Raw genomic sequence first — 12,581 nt, forward strand, 5'->3', positions numbered from 1 at the left:
ATAACATGATGAGTCTGAAAAATAATACGATATGTGGTGATATACTCTTGTGTTCTAAAATTTTCTCAATTTTAATTTCAAATGTGGTAAGTACAGGTAGATATAAGCGCTCCACAGTAGTTTTTAAGATTGTAAAAGGGGTTCTGAAACCAAAAAGTTTGAGAACCACCATCTTAAGTGATGCCTTAGTGGCTCTGGTAAGTAAATAAACATTTAGAAATTATGAAAATTATACCTGCACTTACAGTAGGGCCTGAAATCATTGAAATCTTGCTGCTCATAGTGTAGTCTACCTGGCAGAAGCATCGGCCTACCTGGGGAGCCTGTTAGAAACACAGAATCTTGAGACGATCCCAGATTTTCTGAATCAAAACCTGCATTTTAACAAGAGCTGCATGTGCTTTATGTGCCCATCGTAATCTAACAAGCACTGACTTAAGAGAATTAGCCTTATCAATTTTATTTGTTATTTATTGCCCTACATCATTTTTATCACCTTAATGGAATACGAATCTTCTTGCTTGTTTTTACCCTTCCCACTTTGAGCGCTATCCTATTGTTTAATTTATCCATGTACAGAAGTTTATGATAAATATTAACATTTCAATTTACAGATGGAAAAACTGACAAAAAGCTGGAGAGGTGTGACTATCCCAAAGTCTGGTCAAATGCCAAACTGGGAAGAAAATACAGAGACATTAACTCATGCACTGATGCATCTTGCATTAAAAGATAGGAGATGAGTCCCAAACACACAACATGAAAACTCACCATCATGCAGGCAGGACCTCAGAATTTTTGAATTATAAGAGGCTTAAGGACATTTTCGAACATGAAATAGAGCCACTGGATGATAGCAGATATGAAGGCTTTCTCCTCTGTACTCACACAGGGCTCTGTGTTTTGGCCTACTGCAGCACCGATCATTTGGTATTAAATTACTGGTTTATATGTCAGTTGCCCAAGACAGACTCTGATTCTTAAGATCAATGACTGTGTCTTACTTTTATTTCACATTCAGCATTTACCCCAATACTGGGCACATAGAAAGTGCTCAGTAAATACTTCTTAATTTGCTCAGGCTGCCATAACAAAATACCATGGATTAGGCGGCTTAAACAACAGAAATTTACTTTCTCACATTCCTGGAGGCTAGAAATCTCAGCCCAAGGTACCAGCATGGCTCTGTTGCTGGCTTGTAGATGGCCACCTTATTGCCATGTCCTTACATGGCAGGTGAGGTGGTGGCCTTGGAGAGAGAGCAAGCTCTCATATTTCTTCTTAGAAGGGCATTAATTCCATCATGAAAGCCCCACCCTCATGATATTATCTAAACCTAATTGTCTCCCAAAAGTCCCATCTTCAAATACCATCACATTGGGAATTCAACATATGAATTTAGGAGAATATAAACATTCAGTTCATAACAAATACATATTCAACAAATGAAGAAAAGTAGTTAAAAAGAGAGTAGATTTCAATCAAACTAATAAAATGTAATTGGGAAACTATACAACTTTCTGGAAAGATTGTTGTTAAGCTAATCTATCACTTTGGTTTGAGCTCAAATAAGCTGGAGAGGTTCACCTGAATGTAGCCTCTTGGAGGTTTGTTTCCTTCTTGATTCCAATATTTAAATTTCAAAAATCAATGGTTTACCAAAATGGTTTTCCTAAGTGGTTTATTATATTTAGTAAACAGCCATGCTTTATTTGGGGTATAACTTATCCCAAGTATTTTTACTTTTACTTAGGAAATCTTTTTTTTGGAAATGGAGGTACATGGAAAACAGCAGAAGTAGTAATGAAAAGAGTATAGAAGAAAGAAATAATATGTAAGGTTTTTGTTTGTTTGTGGGATTTTTGTGTTTTTTTTCCTGAAACAGAGTCTCACTCTGTGACCCAGACTGGAGTGCAGTGGCGTAATCTCGGCTTCCTGCAACCTCCGCCTCCCAGGCTCAAGTAATCCTCCCACCTCAGCCTCCCTAGAGGCTGGAAACACAGGCATGTGCCACCACGCCCAACTAATTTATTTTATTTTATTATTATTATAGTTTAAGTTTTAGGGTACATGTGCACAACGTGCAGGTTTGTTACATATGTATACATGTGCCATGTTGGTGTGCTGCACCCATTAACTTGTCATTTAGCATTAGGTATATCTCCTAATGCTATCCCTCCCCACTCCCCCCACCCCACAACAGTCCCCGGTGTGTGATGTTCCCCTTCCTGTGTCCATGTGCTCTCATTGTTCAATTCCCACCTATGAGTGAGAACATGCAGTGTTTGTTTTTTTGTCCTTGCGATAGTTTGCTGAGAATGATGGTTTCCAGCTTCATCCATGTCCCTACAAAGGACATGAACTCATCATTTTTTATGGCTGCATAGTATTCCATGGTGTATATTTGCCACATTTGCTTAATCCAGTCTATCATTGCTGGACATTTGGGTTGGTTCCAAGTCTTTGCTATTGTGAACAGTGCCACAATAAACATACGTGTGCATGTGTCTTTATAGCAGCATGATTTATAATTAAACTAAAGAGCTTCTGCACAGCAAAAGAAACTACCATCAGAGTGAACAGGCAACCTACAGAATGGGAAAAAATTTTTGCAACCTACTCATCTGACAAAGGGCTAATATCCAGAATCTACAATGAACTCAAACAAATTTACAAGAAAAAAACAAACTCATCAAAAAGTGGGCGAAGGATATGAACAGACATTTCTCAAAAGAAGACATTTATGCAGCCAAAAAACATGAAAAAATGCTCATCATCACTGGCCTTCAGAGAAATGCAAATCAAAACCACGGTGAGATACCATCTCACACCAGTTAGAATGGCGATCATTAAAAAGTCAGGAAACAACAGGTGCTGGAGAGGATGTGGAGAAATAGGAACACTTTTACACTGTTGGTGGGACTGTAAACTAGTTCAGCCATTGTGGAAGTCAGTGTGGCGATTCCTCAGGGATCTGGAACATAAATCATCCAACTAACTTCTTAAATTTTTTTTTTTTTTTTTTTTGAGATGGAGTTTTGCTCTTGTTTCCCAGGCTGGAGTGCAATGGTGTGATCTCGGCTCACTGCAACCTCCACTTCCTAGGTTCAAGTGATTCTCCTGCCTCAGCCTCCCAAGTAGCTGGGATTACAGGCACCTGCCACCATGCAGGGCTAATTTTTTGTATTTTTAGTAGAGAGAGGGTTTCATCATGTTGGCCAGGCTGGTCTTGAACTCTTGGCCTCAAGCAATCCACCCGCCTCGGCCTCCCAAACTGCTGCGATTACAGGCATGAGCCACCACGCCTGGCCCTAATTTTTTAATTTTTTCAGTGGAGATAGGGTTTCACCATGTTGCCCAGGATGGTCTTGAACTGCTGTCAAGTTATTCCCCCACCCCGCCTTGGCCTCCCAAAGTGCTAGGATTACAGGCATGAGCCACTGGGCCCAACGGAAGTACATGTTTTATATTACCTCTGCTTTTCACACTTTTAGAGTTCATCAATAGCTCCTAAATTGTACTCACATTTTTTCTGCTTATTCATATTCCATTTCAACACTTATGAAATAAACTATTGTTATGAGGGTTAGCTAACATTTCATAAATTTTCCCCAAATGTTCCTTTTGGTTCTTTTCATAAATTTATTCTTTATTATTTTTCTTTTATCTATGCATTGCTTTTTTATACAACTACCCAAATATTTTATTTTCTTTGCTAATTATAGGGGCTAAAACAAACTTGTTAAGTTAGATTGAATTGAATGAAATAGATATACACATACTAATACAGTATTTTTTTCCTCACAAAACCAGTTGAATTAACTGGGCTGTCTTCGGGTTCTAGTTGATTCTTTCTTGACAGAGGAATTAAATGGAATGAAGCCACACATATAACTGTACCTTCTCATGTGCTATTCACCCATCATCAATTTTCTTTCGAAATGTTTTATTAACAATGACATCAGCAGGTTAGTGGATGAGGAAGCTTCAGGCCCTTGTTCCCCCATAGAAACACCAAATAAACCGCTAGGGTGACAAAAATAACTTTATAGGAACTCTGAAAACAAGTCAAAGATCTACAGCAACCAAACAAAAGCTCAACCAAGAGAAATCTACCTTCAACATGGTGGGACATTTCATAGCATTTTTACTTACCTTGTCTCACCTTCCCAGCATGGTGAAATCTGGAGGAAGTAGCCTAATTCCTGGTTTTCCCTTTGGGATGGAAAGAGCAGGGTAGAATTGTTTGCAACATTCTGACCTTTCTGTGGGTCACCTGAGGGTCTGGTCTTGCCTTGCCTGACTCAGAGCTCAGATAGGGGACACTGGCATATTTTGGATCTCAGGCTAGAAGCTGTAGAAGGCAGTGGCGGGTGTGTACATGAAAACTGCAAAGGGAATGCAGATCCATGGGCACTTGGGGGCAAGACAGTATGCACAGAGCATTACAATAGGACATCTAAGGCCATAGGAAGCTAGGATGAGACTCTGGGGAATCAAGACTTTTCAATGCAGCCAGAGATAATTAGGGTGGGTGGTGGGGGAAACACACACATAGACCAAGTCAGGACACATGTTCAGAAAAGACCTGAGAAGACTTTAAACCATAACCCCAGTCTGATATTGAGGCTCAGGGGCTCGTAAATTACTGAAGGTTTTCCATGCCAGTTTGCAAGATTGGAGAAGGTGGCTGTTTTTTTAAATACCCAACTTAAATCACAAGGGATGCAAGGAAACAGAAAAACGTAACCCATTCAAAAGGACACAATACAACTGCAGAAACAATCCCTGCAGTAACACACATCTCAAACTTACTTTAAAACAACTCTCTTAAGTATGCTCAAAGAGCTAAAGGAAATTAGAAAAACAATGTAGGAATAAAATAAAAACTTCCACAGACAGAAATTAGTAACAACAATAAGGAAATTCTGGAAGTAAAACACGTAAGAACTGAATTGAAAAACTCACTAGAGAGGTTCAACAGCTGACTCAAACAAACAGAAGGAATCAGCAAACATGAAGTCAAATCTTTTGAAATTATCAAGTCTGAGGAGCAAAAAGAATGAAGACAAGTGAATAGGGCCTATGAGACTTATGAGACACCATCAAACAGACCAACACAGGATTGTAAAAATTGCGGAAGGAGAAGAAAGAGAGGGAAAGGGGGAGATAGATTATTTGAGGAAATAATGGCTGAAAGCGTCCCAAATTAGGAGAAAGGCATGGCTATGTTATCCAAGAAGCTCAATGAACGCTAAGTGGGATAAACCCAAAGAGACCCACAATGAGACACACTATAATCAAATTGTCAAAAGCAAATGACAGAGAAGTTTGAAAGCAGCAAGAGAAAAGTGATGTTCACCATGTACAAGGAAGCCTCAGTAAGATTATCAGTCGATTTCTTAGCAGAAACCTTAAAGGCCAGAAGGAATAACATTATATATTTAAACTGCTGGAGTGAAAAAAAATCAACGAAGGATTTTGTGTAGGGCAAAACTGTCTTTCAAAAATGAAGGAAGGCCAGGCAAGGTGGCTCACACCTGTAATCCAAGCACTTTGGGAGGCCCAGGCAGGTGGATAACTTGAGGTCAGGAGTTTGAGACCAGCCTGGCATACATGGTGAAACCCTGTCTCTACTAAAATTACAAAAAAAATTAGCCAGGTGTGGCGGCCACACCCGTAGTCCCAGCTACTTGGGAGGCTGAGGCACGAGACTCACTTGAACCCAGGGAGAGGAGGTTGCAGTGAGCCAAGATCATGCCACTGCACTCTAGCCTGGGTGACACAGAGAGAATCTGTCTCAGAAAAAAAAAAAAAGAAGGAAGAATTAATATATTCCCAAACAAAAGCTGAACGCATTCATTACCATAGACTTGTCCAACCAGAAATGCCAAAAATGGGTTATTTAAGTTGAAATGAAAAAACACTAGACAGAAACTTAAAGCCATACAAAAATATGACATTCTTCAGTAAAAGTAAATACATGGATAAATAGAAAACAACAGTATTATTGTAATTTTTGTTTATAACTAATTTTTTTATTTTATACAGAATTTAAGAGATAAGTATGTAATAAATAATTATAAATCTATGTTAATGAGCATAACATAGTATTATAAAGATATGATTTGTGACATTAGTCACATGAAGTGGGGGCATAGCCTCTGAGTACTGTTTTTGTATTTGATTAAAATTTCATTAGTTGGGAATCTCCAGAGAAACAGAACCAAAGGGAAATTAAAGACAGATAGATAGAGACAGAAAGAGAGAGAGAGAGAGAGACAGAGGGTAAATATAAAAGGAGATTTATTATCAGAAGTTGGCACCCATGATTATGAAGGCTGAGAACTGCAGACCTGCTGTCTGCAAGTTGGAAACTCAGGAAACCTTGTAGTGTAATTCCAGCCCAAGTCCAAAGGCCTAAAAATCAGGGGAGCTGATGGTGTAAATCCTAAACCAATGGCAGGAGACTGACATTGTCAGAAGATGTACAAACAAGAGTGACTGTATCTTGAGCAAGGGCTGTGTAAAATGAGGCTGAGACCTGCTGGACCGCATTCCCAGACAGTTAAGGCATTCTTAGTTACAGGATGAGATAAAAGGTCAGCATGAGATGCAGGTCAGACGGACCTTGCTGATAAAACAGATTGCAGTAAAGAAGCTGGCCAAAACCCACCAAAACCAAGATGGAGACAGGAGTAACCTCTGGTTGTCCTGGCTACTACACTCCCACCAGCGCCATGACAGTTTACAAATGCCATGGCAGCATCAGGAAGTTACCCTATATGGTCTAAAAAGGGGAGGCATAAATAATCCACTCCTTGTTTCGCATATAACCAAGAAATAACCATAAAAATGGGCAACTAGCAGCCCTTGGGGCTGCTCTGTCTATGGAGTAGTCATTCTTTCATTCCTTTACTTTCCTAATAAACTTGCTTTCACTTTATGAACTTGCCCTGAATTCTTTATTGTGCGAGATCCAAGAACACTCTCTTGGGGTCTGGATTGGGACCCCTTTCTGGTAACAATGTCTCAGCTCAAGCAGGCAGACAAGAAAAAGGAGCAAATTGATCCTTCCTTCACCTTTTGTTCTATTCAGATCTTCAGTGGATTGGATGAGGCCCACCCACACTGGGAAGGCCATCTACTTTACTGAGTCCACTGATTCAAATGCTAATCTCACCCAGAAACACCCTCACAGACACACCCAGAAATAAGGTTTAATCTGGGCACTCAACAGTGCAGTCTAGTTGGCACAGCCTTGCATTCCAGGAATAAATCCCACTTGTTCATGGTGTATAATCCTTTTTATATGCCGTTGAATTCAGTTTGCTAGTATTTTATTGAGAATTTTTGCATGAATATTCATCAGGGATATTGGTCTGTAGTTCTCCTTCCTGGTAGTGCCTTTGTCTGGTTTTGGTTTCATGGTAATGCTGGACTCATAGAATGAATTAGGAAGTGTACCCTCCTCTTTAATTTTTTGAAAGAGTTTGAGAAGGATTGGTATAAACTATTCTCTAAATGTTTGGTAGAATTTGCCAGTGAAGCCATCTGCTCCTGAGTTTTCATTGTTTAGAGGTTTTTGATTACTGATGCAATCACCTTTTAGTTTAGGTCTATTCAGATTTTTCATTTCTTTATGATTCAGTCTTGGTAGGTTCTGTGTTTCTAGGAATTTGTTCATTTCACTAGGTTATCTAATTTGCTGACATATAATTGTTACTTCCTTATAATTTTTTTATTTTTGTAAAATCAGTCATAATGTCCCCTCTTTCATTTCTGATTTTAGTTATTTGAGACTTCTCTCCTTTTTTCTTAGTCATTCTAGCTAAAGGTCTATCAATTGTGACCTTTCATTCAGCATATGAAAATCAGTCAATGTAACACACCATATTAATAGAATGAAAAACAACAGCATATGATCCTCTCGATGCATAAGAAGCATGTGACAAAATTCAATATTCTTTCATGATAAAAACACTCAGGAAGTGAAGAATAGAAGAAAACTACCTCAATATAATAAACGCTATATGTGAAAAACTCACAGCTAACATCATACTCAATTGTGAAAGACTGAAAGCTTTTCCTCCAAGATCAGGAACAAGGCAAGCATGCCTGCGTTCACCACTTTCATCACTTTCAATATAGTCCTGAATGTCCTAGCCAGAACAATTAGGCAATAAAAGGAAATTAAAAATTCATTTTCACTTTGGAAGGAAGAAGTAAAAGTAGCTCTGTTCACAGAACATATGATCTCACATGTCACACACACACACACACACGCAATGATTATAGCTGATACATTCAGCAAAGTTGTAGGATACAAAATCAACACACAAAAATAAGTTGCATTTTTATGCGCTAACAATGAATAATCCAAATAGGAAATTTAAAAACAATTCTATTTATTATAGCATCAAAAGAATAAAATGCTGGAATAAACTTAACCGCGGAGGTGAAAGACTGGTGTCGCAGGAAAAGGGTCCTAATCCAGAGCCCAAGAGAGGCTTCTTGGATCTCACAAAAGAAAGAATTCAGGGTGAGTCCATAGAGTAAAGTGAAAACAAGGTTATTAAGAAAGTAAAGGAATTTAAAAAACGGCTACTCCATAGACAGAGCAGCCCATTTTTATGGTTATTTCTTGATTATATGCTAAACAAGGGGGTGGATTATTCATGCCTCCCCTTTCTAGACCACAGAGGGTAACTTCCTGATGTTGCCATGGCATTTGTAAACCGTCATGGCTCTGGTGGGAGTGTAATAGTGAGGACAATCACAGGTCACTCTCATTGCCATCTTTGTTTTGGTGGGCTTTGGCCAGCTCCTTTACTGCAAACTGTTGTATCAGCAAGGTCTCTATGACCTGTATCTTGTGCTGACCTTTAATCTCATCCTGTTAGTTAGAATGCCTTAACCATCTGGAAATGCAGTATGTCTCAGCCTCATTTTACCCAGCTCCTATTCAACATGGAGTTGCTCTGGTTCACATGCCTCTGAGAAAAGGACATTATCAACAGAGTGAAAAAGTAACCCACAGAATGGGAGAAAATATTAGCAAATTTTGTATCTGATAAGGGATTATTATCCAGAATATGTAAGGAATTCATACAACTCAACAACAACAAAACAAACAACCCAATTGAAAAATGGGCATAGGACCTGACCTGGATAGACATCTCTCCAAATAAGATATACAAATGGCCAATAAGCATATGAAAAAATGCTCAATATCATGAATCATTAGGGAAACGCAAATGAAAAGTACAATAAGATGCCACTTCACACCCATTAGGTTGCTTATTATCAAGAAAACAGAAAATAAGAAGTGTTGGCAAGCATGTGGAGAAATTGGAACCCTTGTATATTGCTGGTGGGAATGTAAAATGGTGGAGCTGTTGTAGATAATAGCATGGTGATTTCTCAAAAAATTAAACATGGAATTACCATATGACCCAGCAATTCTACTTCTAGTGTATACCCAAAAGAATTGAAATTGGGGACTGGAACAGATACTTCTACACCGATGTTCACTGCAGCATTATTCACAATAGCTAAAAGCTGGAAACAACCCAAATGTCCATCAATGGATGAATGGATAAGCAAAATGTGGTATCTACATACAATGAAATATTAGCCTAAAAAAAGAAACATGGATGAACTTCAAGAACATTATGCTAAGTGAAATAAGCCAGTCATAAAAAGACAAATATCATATGATTATACCTCTGATATCTGGTACCTAAAGTATTCAAAATTATCAAGACAGAAAGTAGAATAGTGGTTGCCCTGGGCTGGGAGGAGGTGGAATGAAAAGTTAGTCTTTAACAGACAGAAAGTTTCAGTTGGAGGAGATGGAAAAGTTCTGGCAATGGCATTAATGGTTGCCTAACAATATGAAAGTACTTAATGCCACTAAACTGTACACTTAAAAATAGTTAAAATGGTACATTTTATGCTATACACTTAACCACAATAAAAAGATAGTAATACCAGAAAAAATCACATAAAAAAGTCAGATGGCCCATTAATTTTCTTTTTTTCCTGGAAATCTCCCTGGGGCCCACCTTCTCTCTCTCTAATCTGGATGCACTCATCTCCAGCAACCCAGTGGCCATCCAGGACCCTCCCTTCCCAGCTCCATTGTTGGAGCCACAGCTTCCTTAATTTATTGCTTGATTTATTCCCTGGTTTTGGTGGATAATACTCTCTATAAAAGGGTGTGTGACATGTTTATAGCAGCACAATTTGCAATTGCAAATATGCCACTGCACTTTTGTGCATTTATGGAACTACCCCAAATGCCCATCAATGACCGAGTGGATAAAGAAACTGTGGTGTGTGTGTGTGTGTGTGTGTGTGTGTGTGTGTGTGTGTGTGTGTGTGTGTATGATGGAATACTACTCAGTCGTAAAAAGGAATGAATTAATGGCATTCACAGCAACCTGGATGGGACTGGAGACTATTATTCTAAGTAACTCAGCAATGGAAAACCAAACATTGTGTTTTCTTACTCGTAAGTGGGAGCTAAGCTATGAGGATGCAAAGGCATAAAAATGACACAATGGACTTTGGGGACTCAGGAGGAAAAGGTTGGAAGAGGGTGAGGGATAAAAGAATATTAATTGGGTTCACTGTATACTGCTCAGGTGCAGCAAAATCTCACAAATCACCACTAAAGAACTTACTCATGTAACCAAATACCACCTGTTCCCCAAAAATCTGCGGAAATAAAAAATTTTAAAAAAAGAAAGGGCTTGTGAGTATTAAATCTGAGTCCCTGCATGTCCACAATGTCTTTATTTTGCCCTTAGTCAAATTGCAGTTCAGTTTTCCTCAGAACACTTAAGGCATTTCTCCATTGACTTCTAGCACCCAAGTGAATGTTTTCCACCTTCCTATCACGCTTTTGTTAGTGTACTTCCACCCCTACAGATGATTCCTATCTTTTAAGATTTATTTACTCTGATTTCTAATTTGAAGACTGTCTTTCTGTACATGTGTTTGTAAAGTTAGGAAAACAATTGGTGAGTATCAGTCACTGATATTTTCTCTCCATGTTTACCTATTGTGTTTGCTATTTTGCTCCTTGCTGTGCCCAGGAAGTTGTTAGAATTTCAGAGCTATGTAAGCTGACTGTATAAAAAGGGACTTCATAAATTGTCCATAGTCATACATCTTCCTTGATTTTGTGTTTCATTCCAAAATAGTTTTGGGGCTGGAAATGCTACTTATTTTCTTTAAAAATAAAAAAAGTGCATCCCCAGGTGAAGAAAACATCAACTTAGTAAAAACTCCAATTTGTTTAAAAACTTAATTTGTAAACTATTATGTGTTACCTTCATCTTTTCTTTTCTTTCCTTTCTTGCTTTCCTTCCTTCCTTCCTCTTTCCTTTCCTTCCCCTTTCCTTTCCTTCCCCTTTTCCCTTTCCTTCCCTTCCCTTCCCTCTTTCCAGAGTCTTTATCACTAGGCTGGAAGTGCAGTGGTGTGATCCCAGGATTACCTGGGCTCAGGTAATCCTGCCGCAGCCTCCCACATACCTGAGACTACAGGCACATGCCACCATGCTCAGCTAATTTTTGTGTGTTTTGTAGTGATGGGGTTTTACCACGTTGCCCAGGCTGGTTTCGAACTCCTGGGCTCAAGTGATCCTCCCACCTTGTCCTCCCAAAGTGCTGGGATACAGGTGTGAGCCACTGTGCCTGGCCCACCTTCATATTTTCATTTTAGATTGTTTTTACCACCTGAAAACCAGTCATTGCACAGACTAGATCCTGCCATCTCCTAAGGTGTAACACTGAGGGTTAAGAAAACATATTTCATATTTCATTTCGCTTTTCTTTTGTTTTCTGTTTTGTTTTATTTTGTGGCTTTGTGTTCCCAAGAGTTTTCAGTTTTTAAATGAATATTTAAGACCCATATCTATATTTGGATGCATGCATAATCAACATCACCTTCAGTTAAACCTTCTGCATTTTGCAACAAATGGCAGAAACTGACCTTGATATTTTCCAAGAGGACAAATTCATAAATATGAAAACAGAAAAGAAAATCCTGCATCAAGATAGCAAATGACTCAGTGCAGCTTCTGTGGTGAAATGAAGACAATTCACAAGGCTGGCATATTTATAAAATGTACAATAAATTATATAATACCACAAATAAGCAAGATAATATGAACCCGAGCCTTTCTCTTGATGCTGAGAGTTTTTATATATCTAACTCATGTGCTTCACTTTCAGTGGGTTTTGTCCAAGCATTCTGGAGAAATCCCCAGGGTAAATCTATCATTTAAAATCCTACTTCTAGCTGGGTGCAGTGGCTCATGCCTGTAATCCCAGCACTTTGGGAGGCCAAGGTGGGTGGATTACTTGACGTCAGGAGTTCGAGACCAGCCTGGCAAACATGACGAAACCCCATCTCTACTAAAAATGCAAAAAAAAAAAAAAAAAAAAAAAATTAGCCAGGTGTGGTGGCGCACGCCTGTAATCTCAGCTACTCAGGAGGCTGAGGCAGGAGAATTGCTTGAACCTGGGAGGCAGAGGTTGCAGTGAGCCAAAATCGCCCCACTGCACTCAGT

At 38.9% G+C, this 12,581-nt stretch overlaps 1 annotated feature.

The window, feature by feature from the left end:
* Positions 6,822–7,438: an enhancer, noted in NCBI's record as "OCT4-NANOG hESC enhancer chr13:40377804-40378420 (GRCh37/hg19 assembly coordinates)". NCBI's record gives its function as "activates a minimal SCP1, AML or CMV promoter by ChIP-STARR-seq in primed H9 embryonic stem cells {active_cell/tissue: H9 hESC(primed)}" and the evidence as "EXISTENCE:reporter gene assay evidence [ECO:0000049][PMID:30033119]".

This window comes from Homo sapiens, chromosome 13 (assembly GCF_000001405.40).
Source record: "Homo sapiens chromosome 13, GRCh38.p14 Primary Assembly".
Classification (NCBI taxonomy): Eukaryota; Metazoa; Chordata; class Mammalia; order Primates; family Hominidae; genus Homo; species Homo sapiens.